This window comes from Homo sapiens, chromosome 17, assembly GCF_000001405.40.
Source record: "Homo sapiens chromosome 17, GRCh38.p14 Primary Assembly".
In the NCBI taxonomy this organism is placed as follows: Eukaryota; Metazoa; Chordata; class Mammalia; order Primates; family Hominidae; genus Homo; species Homo sapiens.
The window spans coordinates 18,237,343-18,259,654 of NC_000017.11; the positions used below are offsets into that span (position 1 = coordinate 18,237,343).

The following is a 22,312-nucleotide window of genomic DNA, read 5'->3' on the forward strand; positions in this document are numbered from 1 at the left end:
TGTTTAGCTGATGAACTGAAGACAGTCCTAGAACCACCTTGGTGGTGGCTGGGGCTGCTTCAGAGGCTCCAGGCTGAGTGGGGCCCAGGGCGGCCCCTCCCCTGCGCTGATGCTCCCCCTGCCTGGCTGTGGGCTCAGGTGCTGGTACTGGAGCTTAGTGATGTGCCGGTGGAGCAGGCGGTCAGCGTGGCCATCATAGACCTCCTCCAGGACCGCGAGGGCTTCACATGGAAGGGCCACGAGCGGCTGAGCCCACGCACGGGGCCGCTGCCCTGGCCTGCTGGCTTCCAGCCCCGTGTCCTGGTGCAGTGCCTGCCGCCAGCTGCTGTAACCGCTGTCACACTCCACACCGAGTGGAGCCTCGTGGCTTTTGGCACCAGTCATGGCTTTGGCCTCTTCGACTACCAGCGCAAGAGCCCTGTGCTGGCCAGGTGTGTGGGGTGGGGCCGGCTGGGCAGTTGGAGCCCCCAGCGAGATGGGGTCTGGGCTTCCGTTTCCACCTCTAGTGTTTGGTGTGGCAAAGGCCACTAACCTCCATTGCCCTATAAGAAATAACCTGGCAGCTCCAAGAAGGACATTCTCAGTACCACCTGCAGCTGGGTCCATAGGACTGCGCCAGAGGGGCTGTGACTCCCTGACCTGGGTGCCTCCACAGGCCAGCAGGAGTGTGGTGGCTGCCCCAGGAGGCTGCTCTATAGCACGACTGGACCCTGTCTTCCCCCAGGTGCACTCTTCACCCCAATGACTCCCTGGCCATGGAGGGTCCGCTCTCCCGGGTGAAGTCTCTCAAGAAGTCACTGCGCCAGTCTTTCCGGCGCATTCGCAAGAGTCGTGTCTCTGGCAAGAAGCGGGCTGCTAATGCCAGCAGCAAGGTGAGCTGGGGTGGGCTGCACAGGAGCTGTGCCTGTGTCCTGTGCCTTGGCCTGGCTCTGGCCTGGGACCCCTGGGGCCTGCTTAGCTCAGTGCTCCTCCCTCGGCAGCCCCTGGGCCCTCCAGAGGGATGGGTGAACTAAGCTGGGTGGTAGAGGAATGGTAACAGAACGTAGGGCGCAAAGCAGGATGCAAGCCACTGGGGTGCTAGGGAGACAGTGTTCAGGAGCCCCCGCCCGGCAGTTGCAGGAAGCCAATGCACAGCTGGCTGAGCAGGCCTGCCCCCACGACGTGGAGATGACGCCCGTGCAGCGCCGCATTGAGCCCCGCTCTGCCGATGACTCCTTGTCGGGTGTCGTGCGTTGCCTATACTTTGCCGACACATTCCTTCGAGATGGTAAGGCAGGGGCAGGGGCAGGGACAGGGCAAGGGTTGGGGGGGCTGGCCTCAATTGGCCACCTGGGAGATGGGTGGTGGCAAGGGAGGTGGTGGGACTGCACCTTCCAGGAGGTGGCTGGGCACGGTGGCTCAAGCCTGTGAGTGATCCCAGCACTTTGGGAGGCCGAGGTGGGCGGATCACCTGAGGTCAGGAGTTTGAGACCCGCCAGGCCAACATGGTGAAACCTCGTCTCTACTAAAAATACAAAAATTAGCCAGGTGTGGTGGCGGGCGCCTGTAATCCCAGCTACTTGGGAGGCTGAGGCAGGAGAATTGCTTGAACGTGGGAGGCGGAGGTTGCAGTGAGCCGAGATCGTACCACTGCACTCCAGCCTGTGCAACAGAGTGAGACCTTCTCAGAAAAAAAGCTTACCATCCAGCTCTCCCAGGGGGACTGCTGGGTCACCCCCAGTCTCTCTGGGGGAGCTGGATGGTAAAGGATTTTTGAGTGAGCTGGGTGGGCCTCTCAGATCTGAGCCAGGAGAAGGGAGGTTGAGGCCTGGTGGATGACGGTGAGGGGCACCAGCCAGTGCCCAGGCCCCGAGCCGGGCATGTGTGTGGGCAGCTGCCCAGCCACTTGGCTGGAGTGGAGCAGGTGAGGGTCGAGGTGTGTGGTTCAGGGAGATACTGCTGCTGGCCAGAGGCTGAGGACCTGGCTTTGATTCTCAGTGGCCTGGGAGCCCTGGGAAGGTCCTGGATTTGTTGATTGAGTCACTGATTGATTTTGAACTTGTACAATGGGAGAGTTTCAAACATACACAAAAATAGAGAGGTGCAAAGTTGTCCCACATACCTCACATGCCTGCCACCAGCCATGTGCCCCTGCGGATTCTGCCCCCCTCCTCCACATTCTTTGCTGTTTTTTTTGCCGGGGTATTTTAAATGAAAACCCAGATACAAGTACTTCAGCATGTTCCTGACAGATGTCACTGACAGCCACTGCTCACATCATGCCCTGTAGAACCAATGTGAATTCCTGAGTGTCATCTGCTTGGTCTACGAGCTCAGCTTTCTGATGCCATTTATTTGTCGAGGGTCTTTGTGCAGTGGATTTTCTCACTGTCTGGATGTGGCGGGTGCAGCTGGGGGTGGGGGGTTCTTTGACTTTTTGTTTTTTTTGACTACAAAGACCTAGAAGAGGAGAGCCTGGGGTTTTTAACTTGTTCCACTGGCCCGAGAAGGCCGATGGGTTCATGTTCATGGCCGGCTGGGGTTCCTGTTGGGCATGTTTTGAGTTGTGCAGACACTTAATGCCTCAGGATCCATCGGGTCATCAGGGAGCAGGTGCCGAGTCTGCTCTTGCTTCTGCTGGGCTGGGCTCTGATTCTCCACTAAAGCTTGTCACCCAGAGGTTCAGTTCACACAGGCAGAGCAGGGTCGATGGATGGTCGTCCTAGGTGTCCCCAGGCTTGGCGGCTTCCTCTGGCTGCCACGTAGGGAGCACACTGAAGACAGTGGGGGTGAAGCAGGGCTAAGACAAGGCACACCTGTCGACAGGACTAGCAAGGGGACGCAGGGGTGGAGAGAGGAGTCGGGGTCTTGTGGGGCTTGGGGCCTGAGTGATGCTAGGATGGAGCTGCGTTTACTGAGATGGGGGCTGAGGGTGCAGTGGGATGGGGCTGGAGGTCTGGTTTGGGTGCCCATCAGCATTCTGTGCAGATGCGCTACAGCTGTTCGGGCCTCTGCAGGAGGGCTGCATCCTGGGCTCCGACTGCAGTCAGCAGCATAGAGCTGGGGTCTCAGGCCTCGAGGCTGGAGGTCACCAGGGAGGCATGGGGCAGGAGGGAATCAGCCCTGAGTCCCAGGGTGTCATAGTTAGGAAGCAGGGCTACAAGAGAGGCAGGGAGGGACCTGCAGTCTGTGGGAAGACCCCAGGGGAGATGCCTGGCCCACAGGGAGCACCCTCCTACGCGCTTGTTTTCTGCAGGGGCCCACCACGGGCCCACCATGTGGGCTGGCACCAACTCAGGCTCTGTGTTCGCCTATGCACTGGAGGTGCCGGCAGCAGCAGTGGGTGGTGAGAAGCGGCCTGAGCAAGCGGTGGAGGCCGTGCTGGGCAAGGAGGTGCAGCTGATGCACCGGGCGCCTGTGGTGGCCATTGCCGTGTTGGACGGGCGTGGCCGCCCACTGCCCGAGCCCTACGAGGCCTCACGGGACCTGGCGCAGGCACCTGACATGCAGGGTGGTCACGCTGTGCTCATCGCATCTGAGGAGCAGTTCAAGGTGAGCCACTGTGGGCTGTGGGGGACTCTGGGGGACTCCCCTCCAGGCCCCAACCTCATGGACACCATTGGACCCTCAAGAAACCCTTCCTGCCTGTATCCCCCACTGTTGGGACCCTAATTCCCTTGCACCCCAGAAAACACTCCCAGCCAGCAGAGAACTCCTACCCAAGAACCCTGATGCCCCCTCAGCCTGCTGAGTTCCCCTGGGAGGGCAGGAATCTAGTCCTATCTCACTGTGCCACACAAGGCTCCTGTACTGGGCCCAGACCCCTGAGCCCAGTCCCCAGGGGCTCTGCCTCGAAAGAACTCGAGGTTTGATGGGGATACCAGCTGCATAACCTTGGCATAACTCTGTGATTGATTTTGTCACAGATCGAGAGAGGGCCTGGGAGGTTTCTGGAGTACAGTGTGAAGTCTGGAGTTTAGTGGGGCAGCCAGGTGTACAGGCACGGGAGGCCACGTAGCATGCAGCTGGGCTTTGTGGTGGGGGCTGTTGGGTCAGCAGCCACGAGGGTGAGGGGCCCTGGGGACGAGGACAGGGCCAGGCTTTGTGCTCACCAGCCACCTGCTGTCAGGTGTTCACACTGCCCAAGGTGAGCGCGAAGACCAAGTTCAAGCTGACGGCCCATGAGGGCTGTCGTGTGCGCAAGGTGGCACTGGCCACGTTTGCCAGTGTGGCCTGCGAGGACTATGCTGAGACCTGCCTGGCCTGCCTCACCAACCTGGGTGACGTCCACGTCTTCTCGGTGCCTGGCCTGCGGCCCCAGGTGCACTATTCCTGCATCCGGAAGGAGGACATCAGCGGCATCGCTTCGTGCGTCTTTACGCGCCATGGCCAGGGTGAGGCGGGGCAGAGGCCGAGGAGGCCTTCCTCAGGCGAGCGAACTGAGTGGGACCAGTACTGCTTGGGAGCAGGAAGGGCACTCCAGGTGGGCACAGGCCCAGGCCACGGAGGAGCTGTGGTTGGTGGTATCTTCTAACTGCACTCCTCATTCTTCTGCCCACCCAGGCTTTTACCTGATATCCCCATCAGAATTTGAACGCTTCTCCCTAAGTGCCCGGAACATCACAGAGCCGCTCTGCTCTCTGGACATTAACTGGCCCCGCGATGCCACCCAGGCCAGGTGTGTGGAGGGGCAGCTCCTAGCCTGGGGGACCTGTGCCCAGGGCCAGGTCTCATCCCACCCCCGAGATCTGCCTTCCCTGGGCTCAGGAGTGGGAGGGCAAGGATCTAGCGTGCCAGCCTCAAGTCATCCACCTATGGTCCCCATCATGGCCCCATCTCTGCAGTTACAGGATCCGAGAGTCACCCAAGCTGAGCCAGGCTAACGGGACCCCAAGCATCCTGCTGGCCCCACAGAGCCTTGATGGAAGCCCTGATCCAGCCCACAGCATGGGACCTGGTGAGGGGGGCATGAAAGGGGTCCAGACCCTGGCCCCACGGTGCCCTGGGGGAGGGAGTCGGGACTCACATAGCTCAGGGATCGGGCAGGCTTCTGTAGGAGATGGGTGGTTGTGTGCTCACTGGTGCCACCCCTCACCATGGGCTGCCTTATGGGTCTGTGTCCCTAGGCCCCCAGGTGCAGAGGGTGCTAAGGGTCCTGGTAGGGGCTGATGACTTGCTCCCTGTAGACACCCCGGAGCCACCCGAGGCTGCACTCTCACCCATGTCCATCGACTCAGCCACCAGTGCTGACACCACGCTGGACACGACAGGGGACGTCACAGTGGAAGATGTGAAGGATTTCCTGGGGTGAGGCTGGTGGGCAGGTCCACAGGGGGGGCTGCCCTGTCCCCTAGGCCTCCGTCCCCAGGGCTGCCAGGGGCTCCCCCGCCCCCACCCCTGAGCACCATCCCCATCTCGCAGCTCCTCTGAGGAGTCAGAGAAGAACCTGAGGAACCTGGCAGAAGACGAGGCCCACGCCTGTGCCATCCTGATCAAATGAGGTGCTGCAGGGGTGGGGCCCTGGTCCTCACCACTGGTGACGTCCACCCCCTTCAGCCCGTCTGGGTACCATTTGGCCCTGGTCTTCTACCTGAGACCCTGGCAGGCCCATGTGATGGCACTCTCTGAAACCTGGCTGCCTTCCATGGAGTGCCTCAATTGGGGACTTCTGGTGCTCACACAGACACCAGTGTCATGGTTGGGTATTAGAAAAGCAGGGCCAGCCCCTCAGCCCTTGCATGTGACAGGTGGTGGTTAGGACAAGACCAGATTTGTTTTGTTTTGTTTTGTTTTGTTTTGTTTTTGAGACGGAGTCTTGCTCTGTCGCCCAGGCTGGAGTGCAGTGGCGTGATCTTGGCTCACTGCAACCTCTGCCTCCTGGGTTCATGCCATTCTCCTGCCTCAGCCTCCTGAGCAGCTGGGACTACAGGCGCCCGCCACCACACCCAGCTAATTTTTTGTGTTTTTAGTAGAGACGGGGTTTCACTGTGTTAGCCAGGATGGTCTCGATCTCCTGACCTCATGATCCACCCGCCTCGGCCTCCCTAAGTCCTGGGATTACAGGCGTGAGCCACCGCACCCGGCCAACAAGACCAGATTAAACCACTTAGAGGTGGCAGTAGTTTGGGGCTTGGGAGCTGGTTTGGCCAGCCTGTTTCATAGATGAGATCACTGAGGTGCACGAGGTCAGGTCTCATCGGTTGGGCCCAGCAAGTGGCTGACTTACCCCTGCCTGAGTCTGTGGATCCTCACCTAGATGTGGGGCCCATAGATCTGCCCAGCGCATTTGCTGCCTCATGTTCCCAGGCACCTGACTGTAGGCCATAGCCTCACCCTGCACAGGACATGGACACCTCCCAGCTCTTTGTCTGGTGCCTCTCCCTGGCCTCAGTGGGGCATATGTGGCCTGGCGCTTGGATACCCATCTGGAGACTCAGCAAGCCCATCTCAGGTGGTCACTGAAGGGCCATGCCTGCCCTGCAGAGGAGACAGTGGCAGCACCTGTGTGGTCTGGCCGCTGTGGCAATCCATCTGCCCTTTTGCCCTCCCTCACCTTCTGCTGATACCTCTTCTCTCCCTCTTCCAGGAAGGCCAGAACTATCCCGACCTCCACCTGCCCTGCTCGGAGCTGGAGTGCTGGATCCCTGGCACCTGCCTGGCCCCTTAACATAGAACCACGCCTGCTAACCTGTAGGCTCCACTGGGACCTGCTGTCCTGTCCCGCCTGACCCTGGGCCCTGGAGCAGCACCAGCCCCAGGGTGTGGGCCTGGGACCTGGGCCAGAACTGAGCCCTCCTGCAGGCATTTGGCTGCCCTGGGGGCCCACTGCCTAGGGAAGAGGACAGGTGGGGCCCAGCACCTGTGCCACCTCCCCCCCTCCACACACCATCCTTCCCCCTCACTTTGCAGAGTATTTTTCCTTTTTTTTTTTTTTCTTAAAGACGGAGTCTTGCTCTGTCGCCCAGGCTGGAGTGCAGTGGCCCCATCTCTGCTCACTGCAAGCCCCGCCTTCTGGGTTCCCGCCATTCTTCTGCCTCAGCCTCCCAAGTAGCTGGGACTACAGGCGCCCACCACCACGCCCAGCTAATTTTTTCTGTATTTTTAGTAGAGATGGGGTTTCACCATGTTAGCCAGGATGGTCTCGATCTCCTGACCTCGTGATCCACCCACCTCAGCCTCCCAAAGTGCTGGGATTACAGGCGTGAGCCACCATGCCCAGCCCTGCAAAGAGTATTTTTCTAGCGCCTGGGCTGGACAGTTGTTTCTAAAACTAAACTATTTTGGTACCTGCTTCTGGGCCAGTCCCCAGCCTGTCATGAGTGTGTGTGTGCGGGCATGGATGTGACTGGGAGCTCTGCTGGGCACCCACATCTGGGGCCTAGTCAGGTGTGTGTGTCCGGCGGGGGGGGGGGGCAGGGGGGGGGGTCAAGATGAGTTTCCCTGTAGATTGTACCTTGGGGTTTTTTTCTGTCGTTTTGTTAAAATTAGCGCCATTTTAATATTAAAAATACTGATTTTTAATATTGAAAATAAAAGCATTTAATATCTCTTAAAGGGCATCCACATCTGCTTTATCCCTAGCGGAAGAGTGAGGGGGCTTCACACGTGCACTCACACTGTGGAGAGAGTTGGATTTCCCAGACCCCTGAGGGCACCTGTCAGGGTCATCCCCATTGGTGCTGCTTGAGGCTACTGGGGACTGTGGCACTGGACGTGGCTGGAGCAGGTGGTGTCACCTGAGTACATTCTTTGCTAGCAGACAGTGGATGAGGCCCCTTCCTCTTCCTCACCAAGCCTGGGGCTGTGCCAGCCTGTCTTAGGCCAGGGCCTTGCAGAAGGCGCTCCAGGCGTGGAAGCAGCGGGTAAAGGCGTGCTGCTCATTGCCCTTGCGGACCAGGCGCAGCCGGCGCGGCCGCTCATGTTCCTTGGACCGCATGTGCTGGATATATACCTGGCAAGGGGACAGCGAGCCTTGGGTGATGACCCTGCCCTGCCCACAGGCCCACCTCGGCCCTCCCTCCACCCAGATTACCTGGCAGGCCTTCAGGCTCAGCTTGATCTCCACCTGGCTAGTCTGGGTCCCCACCCACATGTAGACCTGTGGGGGCAGCAGGGGAGATACGGTTGCATGGGTGCCTGGGAACAGCCCCTTGCTCCTGGCCCGAGAATTCCCATTTGTAAGTAAGTCTATGGGCGCCTCCTTGGATGGGCAGGGCTAGTGGCAACATCACACCTCTTGGCCATTGTCTAGCAACATGATGTCATCATCTGCCAGGTCATCTTGGCAAAAGTCGGAGCATTTCTCAGTCACTGCAAAGTAGCCCTTCTCGTTGGAGCACCTGGGAATCAAGGGTCAAGGTGAGGCCAGAGGTCATAAGCAGCAGTGCCAGGACTGAGGGGAGGGTCAGGGCCCTGGCCTCACCGGAAGAGACGTGTGTGTTTCATGTACTCGGCATCGTCATCATAGGGCTTCTGTGCCCCAATGCCCACCCAGAAGAAGTTCTCAGGCTCCTCACCTTCGTTGATAACCTGCGGGAAAGGCCAGTCCAGCCCAGGGCCCCTGCCTGCCCTGGCTCCTCTGTGTGTGCCCGCCTGCCCGCCCGCCTCCTGACCTGCTTGCTGTAGGAGGTGTCAAACATGGTGTTCAGGATGTCTTCTGCCAACTTGGCTTCGTCAGGGTCTGATGCCCGGCCCACCCAGGCATACACGATGCCCTGGTTGTCCTCACTCTCAAAGGGAACCTGGGGAGTGTGCAGGGGTGGGGGTGTTCGCAGCTGACTCAGCCCCCAAACACCCCACCCCTTGGTCCACGGAGTCCTGGCTCACACCCACAACCCCACCTTGAGGATGAAGCAGAACTCGGAGTTGAGGAGGCTGGAGTCGGTGTTGATCTGGATGCACCTGTGGAAGGGATGGGGCATCAGCAAGGATTCAGGCCTGGCTCCCTGACGCTTGCTCGCCACTGCGTCCTCCCCCAGCCAGGCACCGGGTGCAGAGGGCGCTGCCGTTGGTGCGGATCTGGTAGAGGCTGGGCTGTTGGGCGCCCTGGACCGCCTTCCTCTTGCCCCGGTGGATGATGAACTTCCTCTTGAAATGGGACAGGAACTTGGGGTTCTCCTGCTGCTGCGTCATGCGTACCACCTGGGGATGTGGAAGTGTTAGGGGCAGCTCCCTGGACCCCCACCTGCCCCTCGGGAGCCTAACCTTCGCTGGGTCTGAGCCCCACCACACCCCTCCGCCTGGCCTCGGGCTCGCGGGGCTGCCAGGCACACCTCCAGCTTCCCAGGGAAGAGGCTCTCGAACTTCTTTTGCAGGCTGAAGGTGAAGGTGAGCCAGCCCATATTGGAGGCTTCACGGCCCTGCCAGAAGTACACGATGCACTGGAAGTCCTCCTCTGGCTGCTTCTCCTCTGCCTCAGCGGTTGCTTCCTCGCCTTCTTTGCCCTCGGCCTTCTCCTCCTTGTCTTCCTTCTTTTCCTCCTCCTCGTACTCCACAGGCACCCAGTACCTGCCGGGTTGGAAGGTTGTGAGCAGGGGCTCGAGCCCCCAGCACCAGGGGAGGGACTTGGGGAAGGGAGTGCTGAGGTGGTACCTGCAGAGGAAGACGTAGCAGTCCTGCGTGTAGAAGTGGCCAAACTCCTCTTCCGGCAGCCGCGCAAACTTCTTGCCCTCCAGCACGAAACCCTCCATGCCGTCTAGGTCTTCGTTCCACTCCTCCATCAGCTGCTCCGCCTGCAGGTGAGAGGGACCCGCCCCGCGGCAGGTCTGAGCGCGCTCTGCGCATAGGCCCCGCCCTCGGCCTGCCCCCCACCCCCCCCCCCGCGCCCCGGTCCCGGCCCTGCCCCCACCTCGGCCAGCGACATGGGCGGCTGCCGCGGCAGGAAAAGCGCAGTGAGGTCAGCCTTCATCTGGTCTTTCTTCTCGGCGTCGCGTTTCACCTTCCCGGAGAGACCCGGGCTCTGCAGCACGGCCTCCGCATTGCGTGTGTAGTCCACCGTCAACACATCGTCCCAATTCTTGAACTTGGCCTTGAACACCTGCCAGGGAGGCCATCAACTAACCATGAGGGGTGCGGCATGATTAGAGTTGGAGGAAGTAGCCCGAGGCTTGAGGCGGGACCCAAGGGAGATCTAGGGCGGGGCTTGGGAGGCGGGGCCTCGGACACGGAGGTAGGAATAGGAGGGGCAGCTTGCAGAGGGGGCGGGGCCTGGGCAGAGTCAGCAAAGAGGAGGTGGGTTTGGGCCCAGCTCTGTAGGGAGGTAGTGAAGCCACAGGGGTCAGGGCATGTCAGGGTGCGAAGGATCCTGGGGAGGGGCCTCCGAAGCTGCAAGCGCACCTGCGCCTCGGTGCCCTCGAGGCTGCGGCTGACCGTGGCATGGCGTGGCCGGTGCAGCATCCCGCACAGCTCCTGACCCAGCTTGAGGGCGGCAGCGCGCACCAGGCGCGGGGACTTGCGGCCGAGCCAGATGAACACGTCGGACCAACAGTCCAGAATGTACACGCAGCGCGTGTCCAGCAGACTCTGCAGCTGCGGACCGGGAGTCTGGAGGTCAAAGCCCAGCCAACGGGGAGGGATCTGGCCCCACGCCCTCCTCCTGCATCTCTTACCAGCCGCATTCTTGGCATCAGCTCCACCTTGGGACGCTGCTTATGTTCCACGGAGAGCTTGTAGTTGATCTGTGGCAGCTCCAGGTAGCCCAAGCCCAGGCCCACCTGGCAGGAAGGATGAGCATGGCAGGGAAGGGATCTGGAGACAGGAACCTCACCCACACAGCCCTCTGCTCTGGAACCAGCCCTGCCCTGCAGCGTGGCTCACTGACTGCTTCTGTTTCCCCCTCCCCTTCAAGGTCTTTTTAGGGATATCCTTTCAGAAGGGCTTTTAAATGGAGTTTTCCCTGCCTGCCCTCTCCAGGCCCTTCATGCCATTTCTAATTAACGTGTCCCTTTCCTGTTCACAAGAATCTAGATAATTGAGCCAAGGTTCCCAGCCCTGGCACTAGGTGCTTCTGTCTCCCCTACGGCCCCACCATCCTGGAAAGACTCCGTGAGGCTACTTCTCAAAAGCAGCCTCCAGACCTTTGCTCATACTGTTCCTTGTCCAGAAGGTGGCACCCTCTCCCCACCAAAGTCGAGATGGAGCCCAAAGCCAACTACATCGGTGTGTAGTCCATTCCCCCAGTCGGTGGGTGAACTTGGGAGGCCAAGGTGGGCCTCAGCAGCAGGGCTCACCTTGTACAGCTTGGGCTGCGGCGGCCAGAAGTCTTCAGGCACGTGCTTCTTGATCTCAGAGGGCTCCCCACCCAGTGCCTCCCAGAACTCTGGGAGCTCCTGGCCCTGCACCAGCAGTGTGATCTCAGCCTTCCCTTTCCGCTCATTCTTGTTAATTTTCTCTGCAAAGAGCCTGAGAGCAGGATGCAAAGTCATCAGCGAGGCTCACACCCCTTTCCTTCACACAAAAGACCCCACGGTGTCCTTGTACCTGGCCTTGGTGGTGCTGCTCAGTGTGGCCTGGGCCCCCCGCCATACGTAGATGTCTAGCCCTCGGTCCAGCAGGAAAACAAACCTGGACAAGAAGGGGCAGGAAGGAGCTGTGATGGTGCATGGGGCAATGGTCACCCCATGCTCCTGACCCCACCAAAAAAAATCCCTCACTATGGGGTTTCTGGGTAAGCCCCAGGGACCCCCCGCCAAGCTCGTGGGCAGGAATTGCTAGAGGGCCTCCTCTTCTAAGAGGCCCACACCTGCCCCCACTGGTGGGGAGGAGGCTGAGGATGAAGCACCCCCACCTCACATTGTTGGGGCTCACCTTGGGTCCAGAGAGGTCCCCTTGAGGGGCACAGGCTCCAACTTGATGTTCTTTTTCCCATACACACGATACATCCTGGGCGCAGGGCAAGAGTGGCTCAGTGTAGGCACCAAGGGCCTAACTTAGCCCCAACACCCTCCCCTCCACCCCTTGCCAGCAGACTCCAGGTCCATACCCCCCACTGCCCACACACCCTCACCTGGTGACATAGTGTGTGTCTTCCACAGTGTAGAAGCCACTGGCTGTTCCACCCTCAATGTAGGAGATGTCGTTGTCAAACACCTGTGTGTGTGAGGGTGTGGTTCTTCATCACTGAGCTGCCCCCTCCCCCACCAACCACTGCCCCTCAGGTGGGGGTACAGAGTTGCATACAGGTGAATTGAGTGCTACAAATCTATGATGCCTGTAATCCCAGCACTTCAGGAGTCTGAGGTGGGTGGATCACCTGAGGTCAGGAGTTGGAGACCAGCCTGACCAACATGGAGAAACCCTGTCTCTACTAAAAATACATAAATTAGCCAGGCGTGGTGGTGCATGCCTGTAATCCCAGCTACTCGGGAGGCTGAGGCAGGAGAATTGTTTGAACCTGGGAGGCGGAGGTTGCAGTGAGCTGAGATTGTGCCATTGTACTCCAGCCTGGGCAACAACAGCAAAACTCTGTCTTAAAACAAACAAACAAACAAACAAACAACAACAAAAAAAACAGATCTGGCTGGGCACGGTGGCTCATGCCTGTAATCTTAGTACTTTGGGAGGCCAAGGCGGGTGGATCACCTAAGGTCAGGAGTTCGAGACCAGCCTGGCCAACATGGCAAAACCCCATCACTACTAAAAAAATACAAAAATTAGCTAGGCGTGGTAGCACATGCCTGTAATCCCAGCTACTTGGGAGGCTGAGGCAGGAGAATCGCTTGAACCCTGGGGGCGGAGGTTGCAGTGAGCCAAGATTGTGCCACTGCACTCCAGCCTGGGCAACAAAGCGAGAGTCTGTCTAAAATAAAACATACACATCTGTGTCTATAAACATACACACGTCGGGGTGTTGGGATGTATGAAAAATATGGACACGTTCACCCACGTTTGTAAAGATGCCAGCAGCATGTTTAGATGCACGCATATCAGGGTACACAAGCAAGTGGGTTCATGGAAGAGTGGAAACCTGGGTGAATGTGGGTAAAAAAAACTCGGGGCGGGTGGGGTGTGTGCATAAACTCCACGTGTGTGTACATGCGAACATATGTCTAGGTGTAACCAGCTGGCGGCTAACACTGCTCAGTAATTTATTCAAGACTGGACTCTGGTCCCGCCCTTGGCCCCACCTCCTTGGCATCCAGGTGTGTCCTTGCCTCCTAATAACAGGTTTTGGCCCTGCCTTCTCACTGCTCTTGGCAACACCCCTTCCACCCTACTCTCAGCTCCCCTGTGTCAGCCCACTGGTCTAGCTCCCATGCCCAGCCTGTACCCTTATCCTTGCCCGGCTGAATTCTGCCCCGCGTTCCAGAACTCTCCTTTGCTGACCCAGGCTTTGGCCACCTTAGACCTCACCCTGCGGTCTGCCTTAGGTCCCGCACAGTATCGTTGATCCACCCCCTTTAACCCCAGCTCCCTGCCTGCCCACCTGTTCTGCCTACCTGCCTTGGGCCCACTGCCCCTGCACCAGAGTTCCCTGGGAACCCCACTCTGCCCACCCCCAATTTTAACGGGCTGGCACCTGCAGGAACTCCTCGCTCTCATCGCCCATCTCCTCCCGGACAGTGCGGCACTCAGCACCCAGGTAGTTGCGCAAGTTGACAGCGTGGATGGCAGAGCAAGCTTTCTTGTCGAGTGTGGCCTCCCCGCCAATCCAGTAGTAGATCTCCCAGTTGAGGGAGCCGCTGTCATCCAGAAAGGTCTGGAAGCCAAGGCACCGGCCACATCAGCTTTCATCCTGGTCTTCCGGCCACCCCGGAGACGCCACTCTGAACAGCACAGGCTTCCCAGCCCCAGGGGCTTTGTACTGCCCCTGTGCCTGGACCACCTCCTGCAGCCTGCCCACCTCCCACCTGGCCTCCCTGAACAAAACTCTGGAGTTGGGGACTGAGCCATCTTAGAGGAAGGTACTGGGCCACATGGCCCCTAACAGCATGCCCAGCCCTCACCTTGAGCACAATGTAGCAGTCAGCCTCGTAGAACTTGCCGTGGAAGGCTTCCTCCACCAGCACAGGCACGAAGTTCTCTATCTGCCAGATGGTCAGTCCGGGCAGCTGGCCCACGTCCTCCGTGAAGAACTCGGAGTAGTCAAGGCGGGGCTTCTCCAGGCCCTGGTCCCAACGCCGCACCTTCCCGCTGGGGGCCCGGGCATCTGCGCTCTCCTGGGGGCAGAGTCACAGAGCACGGCTTGACTCTGTGAAGCCACTCAGGCCAGTCTTTACTTGCTACCCACACCTCAGGGCCTTTGCACAGCTGTTCTTTCTGCCCAGCACCCCCCGTCCCTCTTGGCCAGGGTCAAGGCCAGGGTCGGCCTTCAGCAGAAGCTAAGGCTCCCTGCCTTGTCCCAACCCTGGCCTGGCTCACCTCCTGCTTTTTGTTCTTCTCCTGGGCAACATCTGACATGCCCTTCAGCACCTGCTTGGCCTGGTCATCCTGGGCTGAATCCTTGCGCCTCCGCAGTCGCATCTTGCGAGCCATAGGGTCCTTGGGCCCACTCCCTGCTTAGGGGAGGGGCAAACAGCTGAGCCCTCACTGGGCCTGCTGCCCCCTTGGGCATGCGACCAACCAGGGGCCAACTCCACCCACCAGGGTCCAGAAAGCTGTATGCCACCCAATTTACAGATGTGTCATTTGAGGCCTGGAGAGGAGCCCCCGTTCCCAGGCCAGACCTTTCCCCACTCACCAGCTGCAGCTGCAGCCACGGTAGCAGGAGAGGCACCCGCTAGCCGCAGCTGGTTCTGCAGCGAGAAGTCGATGTTGTACCACTCAGCGGCACGGTCTGCGGGCTTGGGCGGCATGACCAGGTTGGGGTTCTCCCGCACATCCAGGACCTGCCCCATAGGGTGAGCAGAGCCGGCACTGAGCCTGGGTCCTACCTCCCAGACACACCAATCCAGTTTCTTGCTCTTGTCTGCAGCCGCCAGGGCTGAGAGGTCAGGGAACTGGGTTCTCCTCCCACCCACCTCTGGGGCTGGCTGGGGGCTTAAATGAGACTGTGGAATGTACTCTGGATGCAGGGAGGTGGGGCCCACCTTCTCCCCACGGGCACCCTGGCACTGGCCACCTCCCTCAGGAGGCCTCTGCTGGGTCCCCCTTGCTCCAGGGCACACCCCTTGCTTGTCTCTCTTGAGCCCTCTCAAACCCAGCATGCCTGACCTCGATCTCCGTCAGGAAATGGATGGCTTCTGGGAGGGTCACCAGGTGGTTCTTGTTCAGGACAAGTTTCCTCAGCTTTGGGCACCTGTGAAGACAGGGCCAGCCAGGGCCTCAGGCAGGTGACAGACAAGGGGAAGTGGGCAAGAAAACCCCTAGTCCTGGGGAGGGGAGGCAGGTAGGGTCAGAGGAACTGGCGGGGGTCTCCATTCTCTGCCTGAAGGACTTCTCAGAGCCAAGAGACCATGTTACGGGCACTGTGATCTCCAGAAGGGGAGAGAAGCAACACTGCGTTCCCACGTCATGTGGCCTTGTCCCTAACAGTGCCCCCCGAAGGGTGCTCTCAGGGGCTCAAGTTGGGAATGGCTGGCATGGGACTGTGGTCTTCATCCACAAAGGTGAGTTAACTGGGCCGGGCGTGGTGGCTCACACCTGTAATCCCAGCACTTTGGGAGGCTGATCATTTGAGGACAGGCATTCAAGACCAGCCTGGCCAACATGGTGAGACCCCATCTCTACTAAAAATACAAAAAGAGCCGGGCGTGGTAGCGCACGCCTATAATCCCAGCTACTCAGGAGGCTGAGGCAGGAGATTCGCTTGAACCTGGGAGACAGAGGCTGCAGTCAGCCGAGATTGCACCACTACATTCCAGCCCAGGCGACAGAGCGAGACTCTGTCTCAAAAACAAAAAAGAAAAGAAAAGAAAAGAAAAGGTGAATTAACCCATCTTCATTTTGTCTGACTTGCACAGACCACAAGGTGGGCTCTGACTACGATCCCGGGGTTCTCTGTGCTGCAAGTGCCTCTGCTAGCCCCAGCCCTGCCCAGCACCTGCAGAGACTTTCAGGGACCAGCTCCAGGTTGTTGTTGGCAGCCATGAACTCTTCCAGGTTGGTGAGCTTGCCAATGCCTGAGGGCAGCCCGTCAAAGTCCAGCTTGTTGGAATTCAGGTACAGCTTCTTCAGCTTGCTCAGCTTGCAAATGGCTGACTGGAGGGGGAACGGGCAGGGGTGGGAGGTCAGGGCCAGGCTCACGGCCTTCCTCCCATCCCCCTACTGAGGGCCTCAGACGCACGGGCAGTGAGGTGAGCTGATTTCGGGACAGGTTCAGAGTTTCCACGTGCACCCACTGGTCTATGCACAGGGACAGCTCCGTGATCTGGTTGCTGCTGAGGTTGAGGCGGCGCAGGCTGGGGAGGGTGTACAGACACTCGGGCACCCGTGTCAGGTCATTGCAGGACAGATCCACGTCTGGGGTGCAGGGTGGGGTGCATCAGCTGGGGCCCATACACCAGGTGCCAGGGCAGCCAGCCCTAGTGTGAACCCCAGCTCTGCCACCTCTGAGCTGTGTGGCTTAGGCAAGTGACAACTGCTGTGCGCCCAAGTTTCTCCATTTGGACAAACTCCCTCACATGGGGGTTGCGGGGGAGTTTTCTAGGCATAAAGTCAGTGTTAAGGCATCATCATAATCGCAAAAGTCACTGTAACATAACTCCAGCCTTTTCCCTCTGGGTATTGGTCCGAAGAGCAGGGTTCAACCCCTTCCACCCAAGGAAGCAAGAGGGCCCAGAGGGGGCCCGAGCTCAGAGGGGCTCCTGGGGCTGCCTGACCTGCGAGGTTGCTCAGACCCTCCAGGCTGGTGGGCAGGTTGCTCTGGGTGCGCTGGGTGCTCCGCAGGTGCAGGGTCTGCAGGGCCGTCATCGCTGGGAGCTGCCTGCCAGGGTGACGTGAGTGGTCAGGGCCAGGGCCCACCTAGGGAGTGTTAAGGGTGGGGCTTGGCAGGGCAGGACCAAAAGCACAGGGCCCAGAGGGTAGGTGTGAGGTCACATCTGGTTGAAGGGACAAGCCCAAGGGTGGTTGCGGGGTGTGTAAGCGGGAAGACAGGACTGAGAGGTGGACATGATACTTAGGAGGTTGTACACTGAGGGGTGCTGCCTGCACGGAGGGATGGCTGGGCCTAAGGGAGAAGGGTTAGGGCCCTGGGAAGTGAAGGGGCCCGGCCAGACTCCTCAGGGTGGCTTCTGCAGGAGTGCGGTCCGAGGGGGCGCCCACCGGAGCTGTGCATGCAGCAGGGGGTTTCCATTGAGCACGAGCGTCTGCAGGTGCACCAGGCGGCGCATCTGCGGGGGCAGGCTCTCCAGGCGGTTCTCGCTGAGGTCCAGGTATAGTAGGTCAGTGAGGTTGATGAAGAGCTGGTTGGGGATGGTGTCGATGCTACGGGTGGGGAGCAGGAGCCACCTGAGTCAGCACCAGCCACCCCACAGGGCCCACCTGCCCCCTGCCCCCCACTGGCCTGGCACCTGTTGTGGCTGAGGTTCAGCACCAGCATGTTCTTGGCGTTCTCCAGCTCCCGCGGGCACTCTGTCAGCTGGTTGTGGCTCAAGTCCTGGGTAGAAGGGGCAAGACCCAGGTCAGGGGAGTCTCCTCCCCACCAGGCGTCTGCCAAGCTTGGGGATCAGGCAGGGCACTGAGTTGGGTGTGGGGGTAGATGAGGGGGCTTCAGGGCCAAAGGGAGACAGCCAGGGACTTGGGAGGAAGAGTGCCTGTGTTAGGGATCTGACTCCAAAAGTGACCTCAGGCAAGGTATTATCCACTCCAAGACTCAGTTTTCCCATCTGCAAAATGGGATAACAATGGCCCCAGGGACTTTTATAGTGAGTGGGGATTGAATGGTCCGGCTAGCACAGGGGCCAGGTGAGTGGGTAGCCACTGACCAGGACTGAGAGATCATCTAGCTTGAAGATGTCATCGGGGACTCCGGAATTCTTCAGACTGTTGGCTCGGGCCACGATGGCCTGGGAATAAACCATAAGAGTCTATAATTCCTGGCTTCCACTCTCAGGAAGGAACAGAGTCTAGAGAGGGACACCTCCTCAGGCAGCTCACCAGAGGCCAGGCCTGAGGACTCTCTCACCTCTGGCCTTTGATCAAATAGCTCCCTCTCCTGGAGCGCTCTTCCTAGCCTCCCAGTGAGCTCCTATTCATGCCTCAAAGCCCAGCTCAAATGTGCCCCGGAGCCCCAGCACAGGGCCCTCAGGGAACCTTTTCTGTTCAAACCATTTCTCTTCTTCTTAATTCCAGAAGGTGAGATAGGGGTAAGGTCTGAGTCAGGGTTTTCAGAACAGAGGGAGAGAAGTGGACCACAGAGAAATCAGAATCTGGATGGAGAGGAAGTCTGCTTTCTCTCCCTAACTTAAGACTGACACCTCCTCATACCTTACAGACATGCAGAAAGCTTGAGCATGAGGGAACAGGGCCAGAGAATGGTGTCGTGACTCCAAGTGACAACGGGAGTCACCGGAGCTGCCCCGCCACTTCTCCAGTCTGAATGCCTGTGCGGCACCCTGCTGCTGCTTCACGGGGTCACTGCTGCCCCTCCCAACCACTGCACTTGCAGAGGAGGCCCAGAAGGTAGAAGCGATTTGTACAAAGTCACATCACCAGGAAGTGGCAAAGCCCAGCTTTGAACTCAGAGAGTCCAAGTCAGAAGCTGTGCCCTAAACATCTCCAGGGCTCTGACTTCAGATGGGATGGCCCTCGTTGAGGCCTACAGGGTCTGGCCAAGGGCCTGATGTTCTGGGACGTTCAAGTCTTGGGTAGAAGGTACACGGTGCTCCCGGCCAAACCCCACTCAACACCAGCTCTACCACTGCCTGGCTCTGTGACCTGGGGCAAGTAATCTGCCTTGGTGGCCAAGTTTCTCTTCTGCAACATTAGTGGAGGGCTAGAGCATATGAAAAAATCCTAACAGAATAGTGGGAACATTGCTCAGCCAGTCTTGGCTATTATTACTGTAGTTATTGTCCATAACGGCTGGTAAGATTTTGGATTTCTTTACCTTTTTCCTGATGGAATTCTCTGATCCACATGGGTTACTTTACACAGGGCACTGCTGTAACCTCTAATGAGAGGGCCCCTCTGTGACACCTGAGCCTCTGAGCCTGACACGGAGGTGGGCAGAAATGCTGGCCCAGCTTGGTGTCTAGCCCAGGCTTCACGTCCCTGACCGGACCTTGGCCCCAACCCCAAGCTCGGTGGCCTCCCGGCCAGCACTCACGCGCAGCGATGGCAGGCTGGACAGCTCCCCATGAAGCGTGGTCAGGTTGTTGTGGCTCACAGACAAGTGTTCCTGGGCCGGAATGGGGAGCACAGGCTCAGCAGGGTGGGTGGGGTGTCCAGAGTCCCTGCCTGCCTCCACAACTCTGCACCATCCAGGAAGGCCTCAGCCACACTGGCCCAACTACCCCTGCAGCTTCCCTCCCTCACTCACCCGGCCTCTTCTTGCACACCTCCCTGGACAGGGTGCCCACTCCCTTTCTTCCAGCTCTGCTCATAGCTGTCGGTGTTCCTCTCTCTGGAGAAGTTGTCTGCCTTCTCCACAGGCTCTGCCCACCTGGCTCATCCACAGGGACCCTCCCCTGCCCGCCCAAACCCCCTTACCAGCTTCTGCAGGGCGGCCAGCTCCTCGGGCAGGTAGCAGAGGCCAGTGCGGTTCAGCTTCAGCCACCGCAGGCTGGTCATGGCCTTGACATTCTCAGGGAAGTAGCCGCCCTGGGGGAAGGATGTCAAGGTGAAGCACAGAGCCCCTGCTCACCACCTTCTATGGCTCCTCCAGCCCATGGGAGCCTTTGGGGAGCCACAGAACCAACTCTCACCATCTGTGAGAACACAGACAAGTCATTTCATCATTGTGCCTCAATTTCTTCACCCATAGAATGGGAATTTTAAGCCCCCCCGTGACAAAAGTGTTGGCCTAAGATTTGTCTCTCCTACTGGATTCTGGGCCCCAGGAGGGCCAGGACAAAACTGGCTTGTTTCAGGTGAAAGCCCAGCATCCGGCTCTGTGGTTAGCTCGGCTCAAATTCCTTCACCTAGCATTCCACACTCTGACTGGCTGCCTGGGGTGGGGGATCCCCCTTCCAAGCCTTTGCAAAGGCGCCACCTGTGCCCTCATCCTGCCATCAGCACACTGGCAACTCACGGCCAGGGTCAAACCCTTGCTTGCGGAGACCGTGGCTCCCCACCCTGCAGGGCAGGCCAGCATCACTGCACTCCCCTGGTGTGTGAACGCCCACCTCGGCACCTCCAGCCCTTGTGGCACCAAGTCTGGGGCAGTAGGTGCCTTCAGTGCCTGCGGCTGATATTCCTTTCCCCCTAGCGCCACATTCCCAGCTGGTGACTCGGACTCTCCCAGTTCAGCAAAGAGGAACGGGGACCCCAGGTTAGGGTGGTGGGGATGGGGTCAGGGAAAAGTGGTGTAGCCACTTGTACTTGGGGTCAAAGGTGTGTACACAGGCAGGTAAACGCAGGAAAAACCTGCCTCCTCGGCCCCAGCCCCAGACCAACAACCCAGGCCGACCCTGCCAGTCACCCACCCTGAAGGTGAGGCTGACCCTCCAGCCAGCTCTCCCTCCCTCTCTTTCTCTGCTTCCCCTTTGGTCAGGCAATGCCTGTCTCATTCTTGAGTCCTGGAACCACCCCGCCGCCCCACCCACTGGCTGCGGAGGGCTGGGCTCCGGTCCCTTTTCTCTCAGTCCAGCAGCTGCTCAGACAACTGCCACCCAGCACCTGGCACACCGGCCTGACACACTCTCCACACCAACAAATCTCACTATACTCCTTGCGTCCAAGGAGGAGACTTTTAAGCCCCTTCACCGGCTGAGAAAGCCTAGGCTCTGAGAGGGGAAGTGATCTGAGAGGCCCAGGATCACACAGTATGGCGGGTGGCGGTGGCGGGGAGAGGGCAGTGATGAGTCGGCTCCACACCCGCCCCTGGGCAGCCGGGCAGCCATCCCTGAGTCAGGGCCTGGCTTGGGCGTGTGACCTCAGAGGGGCGGGGAGGCTCGCCCGATCCCCAGGCCACCATCCAGCCTAGACCGAGAACACGGACGCGGGGTGGGGGCTCCCGGCCGGGCCCCCGGCGGGACTCCGAGCCCAAGCGTCCGTCCCCGGCCTGCCCAGCCTCGGTCTCCCCGTACAGGCACTGGGCGGAGGCCTCGGAGGTCCATTCCTGGCCAGGGGAGAGCCCCACCCCGCCCCGGCCGCAGTCCCTGGGACACGCAGGGCCTGGAGCCGAGCGGGACAGGAAGCGGAGGCCAAGCGGGCCGGGCGGAAGAGAAGGCCTGCAGGGAGGCCCGGCACGCGCCCGGCCCGGCTCACCTTGAAGTCGTTGCCGCTGAGGTCCACGCCACGCACGAACGGCAGCACCCCGGTGGCCTCCATGGCGCCGCTCTCGCTGCCGGGCCGCGCCGGGCTAGGGAGCGCCGGGGCGAGGGCGCTGGGGGGAGCCGCGGGCTGGGCCAGCGCCGGCCCCGCCCCTTTAACCCGCCCGCGCCCGCCGCATTCCGCGGGGAAGTGTAGGCTTTAGGCCTCTTAGGGCCTCAGTTTCCCCGTCTGTTCGAAGACTGCGGAGGCACCAAGGAGTGCGGGCCCCCCCTGTGCTGGAGTTGGAGGCTTCCACGATCTCCAGGCTTAAGTCCCAGCGCCCCAGGGCAGGGGCCGTAACGGCCGCTGGTCGAGGCACCGTCACCTGCGCTGCTGCAGCACATGAAGCTGGCCCTGACCTCAGAGAGATTCTAAACCTCGGCCCCGGGGCGCAGAGGCCCAGGAAGTGCCTGTACTTGGCTGACCGGTGGTAGTGAGACACCTGGATCCTCGGGTCCTAGCTCTCCTGCTTCTGGACTTAGTTTCCTCATGTGTTGTTTTTGTTTTGTTGAGACAGGGTCTTCTTGCTCTGCTGCCCAGGCTGGAGTGCAGTGGTGTGATCATAGCTCACTGCAGCCTCGAACTCCTGGGCTCAGCCTCCCGACTACCTGGGATTATAGGCGCAGGCCACCACACCTGGCTAAATTTATTTATTTTATTTATTTTTTATTTTTTTTGAGACAGAGTCTCGCTCTGTCGCCCAGGCTGGAGTGCAGTGGCGCAGTCTCGGCTCACTGCAACCTCCGCCTCCCGGGTTCACGCCATTCTCCTGCCTCAGCCTCCCGGGTAGCTGGGACTACAGGCACCCGCCACTACGCCCGGCTAATTTTTTTTTTTTTTTTTTTTGTATTTTTAGTAGAGACGGGGTTTCACCGTGTTAGCCAGGATGGTCTCGATCTTCTGACCTCGTGATCCAACCGCCTCGGCCTCCCAAAGTGCTGGGATTACAGGCGTGAGCCACCGCGCCCGGCCTTATTTATAC

General features: G+C 59.6%; 2 protein-coding genes across 22 annotated transcripts in view, besides 10 other annotated features; one reads left to right on the forward strand and one right to left on the reverse strand.

Moving 5' to 3' along the window:
- LLGL1 (LLGL scribble cell polarity complex component 1) overlaps window positions 1-7,533 on the forward strand; it is a 19,241-nt gene extending 11,708 nt beyond the window's left edge. For 2 of the 16 annotated variants that reach the window (XM_047436006.1, XM_047436007.1), the window contains exons 14-23: window positions 139-431; window positions 725-872; window positions 1,120-1,267; window positions 3,236-3,531; window positions 4,109-4,373; window positions 4,543-4,657; window positions 4,824-4,936; window positions 5,166-5,286; window positions 5,401-5,480; window positions 6,566-7,533. In XM_047436006.1, the coding sequence (XP_047291962.1) occupies window positions 139-431; window positions 725-872; window positions 1,120-1,267; window positions 3,236-3,531; window positions 4,109-4,373; window positions 4,543-4,657; window positions 4,824-4,936; window positions 5,166-5,286; window positions 5,401-5,479 (1,578 nt within the window). In that variant the 3' untranslated portion in view covers window position 5,480; window positions 6,566-7,533. Of the gene's footprint in view, window positions 1-138; window positions 432-724; window positions 873-1,113; window positions 1,268-3,235; window positions 3,532-4,108; window positions 4,374-4,542; window positions 4,658-4,823; window positions 4,937-5,105; window positions 5,287-5,400; window positions 5,481-6,565 lie in introns of all 16 variants that reach the window. The other 14 variants (XM_011523849.3, XM_011523850.3, XM_011523853.3 and 11 more) reach the window with 11 other exon arrangements.
- FLII (FLII actin remodeling protein) lies at window positions 7,473-21,680 on the reverse strand. 6 transcript variants are annotated; one of them, NM_001256264.2, is made up of 30 exons: window positions 21,105-21,680; window positions 19,567-19,677; window positions 19,184-19,255; window positions 17,841-17,921; window positions 17,427-17,512; window positions 17,179-17,340; window positions 16,737-16,840; window positions 16,202-16,377; window positions 15,959-16,116; window positions 15,130-15,214; window positions 14,657-14,804; window positions 14,338-14,474; window positions 13,923-14,135; window positions 13,496-13,675; window positions 11,984-12,066; window positions 11,785-11,859; window positions 11,458-11,541; window positions 11,208-11,379; window positions 10,587-10,691; window positions 10,315-10,506; window positions 9,827-10,015; window positions 9,571-9,710; window positions 9,252-9,486; window positions 8,966-9,120; window positions 8,820-8,880; window positions 8,592-8,720; window positions 8,402-8,508; window positions 8,213-8,318; window positions 8,012-8,077; window positions 7,473-7,930 (listed from the first exon to the last, which is right to left on the reverse strand). In NM_001256264.2, the coding sequence occupies exons 1-30, from the start codon at window positions 21,132-21,134 to the stop codon at window positions 7,796-7,798; spliced, it is 3,777 nt and encodes a 1,258-aa protein (NP_001243193.1). In that variant the 5' UTR covers window positions 21,135-21,680; the 3' UTR covers window positions 7,473-7,795. The 6 variants fall into 6 exon arrangements, with proteins under 6 accessions (NP_001243193.1, XP_005256615.1, NP_002009.1 ...); XM_005256558.4 differs by having other exon boundaries at window positions 14,338-14,471; window positions 21,286-21,396; NM_002018.4 differs by having other exon boundaries at window positions 21,286-21,396.
- Window positions 9,663-10,214: an enhancer, noted in NCBI's record as "NANOG-H3K27ac-H3K4me1 hESC enhancer chr17:18150319-18150870 (GRCh37/hg19 assembly coordinates)". NCBI's record gives its function as "activates a minimal SCP1, AML or CMV promoter by ChIP-STARR-seq in naive and primed H9 embryonic stem cells {active_cell/tissue: H9 hESC(naive and primed)}" and the evidence as "EXISTENCE:reporter gene assay evidence [ECO:0000049][PMID:30033119]".
- Window positions 10,765-11,314: an enhancer, noted in NCBI's record as "H3K27ac-H3K4me1 hESC enhancer chr17:18151421-18151970 (GRCh37/hg19 assembly coordinates)". NCBI's record gives its function as "activates a minimal SCP1, AML or CMV promoter by ChIP-STARR-seq in primed H9 embryonic stem cells {active_cell/tissue: H9 hESC(primed)}" and the evidence as "EXISTENCE:reporter gene assay evidence [ECO:0000049][PMID:30033119]".
- Window positions 10,765-11,363: a biological region, named in NCBI's record as "H3K27ac-H3K4me1 hESC enhancer GRCh37_chr17:18151421-18151970".
- Window positions 11,294-11,363: an enhancer, noted in NCBI's record as "active region_11832". NCBI's record gives its function as "activates an Ori minimal core promoter by ATAC-STARR-seq in GM12878 lymphoblastoid cells {active_cell/tissue: GM12878}" and the evidence as "EXISTENCE:reporter gene assay evidence [ECO:0000049][PMID:35858748]".
- Window positions 19,362-20,028: an enhancer, noted in NCBI's record as "H3K4me1 hESC enhancer chr17:18160018-18160684 (GRCh37/hg19 assembly coordinates)". NCBI's record gives its function as "activates a minimal SCP1, AML or CMV promoter by ChIP-STARR-seq in primed H9 embryonic stem cells {active_cell/tissue: H9 hESC(primed)}" and the evidence as "EXISTENCE:reporter gene assay evidence [ECO:0000049][PMID:30033119]".
- Window positions 20,688-20,767: an enhancer, noted in NCBI's record as "active region_11833". NCBI's record gives its function as "activates an Ori minimal core promoter by ATAC-STARR-seq in GM12878 lymphoblastoid cells {active_cell/tissue: GM12878}" and the evidence as "EXISTENCE:reporter gene assay evidence [ECO:0000049][PMID:35858748]".
- Window positions 20,767-21,268: an enhancer, noted in NCBI's record as "H3K27ac hESC enhancer chr17:18161423-18161924 (GRCh37/hg19 assembly coordinates)". NCBI's record gives its function as "activates a minimal SCP1, AML or CMV promoter by ChIP-STARR-seq in primed H9 embryonic stem cells {active_cell/tissue: H9 hESC(primed)}" and the evidence as "EXISTENCE:reporter gene assay evidence [ECO:0000049][PMID:30033119]".
- Window positions 20,767-21,487: a biological region, named in NCBI's record as "H3K27ac hESC enhancer GRCh37_chr17:18161423-18161924".
- Window positions 20,938-21,077: a silencer, noted in NCBI's record as "silent region_8272". NCBI's record gives its function as "represses an Ori minimal core promoter by ATAC-STARR-seq in GM12878 lymphoblastoid cells {active_cell/tissue: GM12878}" and the evidence as "EXISTENCE:reporter gene assay evidence [ECO:0000049][PMID:35858748]".
- Window positions 21,088-21,487: a silencer, noted in NCBI's record as "silent region_8273". NCBI's record gives its function as "represses an Ori minimal core promoter by ATAC-STARR-seq in GM12878 lymphoblastoid cells {active_cell/tissue: GM12878}" and the evidence as "EXISTENCE:reporter gene assay evidence [ECO:0000049][PMID:35858748]".

Excerpts from the sequence above, each read along its gene's own strand:
- FLII (XM_005256555.5), bottom strand. The coding sequence starts at position 21,348 with ATGGAGGCCACCGGGGTGCTGCCGTTCGTGCGTGGCGTGGACCTCAGC. Across the intron at positions 11,542-11,784 it reads GGGACCTCTCTGGACCCAAG|GTTTGTTTTCCTGCTGGACC; the intron begins GTGAGCCCCAAC and ends CTTCTTGTCCAG. Across the intron at positions 10,507-10,586 it reads TGATGCCAAGAATGCGGCTG|CTGCAGAGTCTGCTGGACAC; the intron begins GTAAGAGATGCA and ends CCCGGTCCGCAG.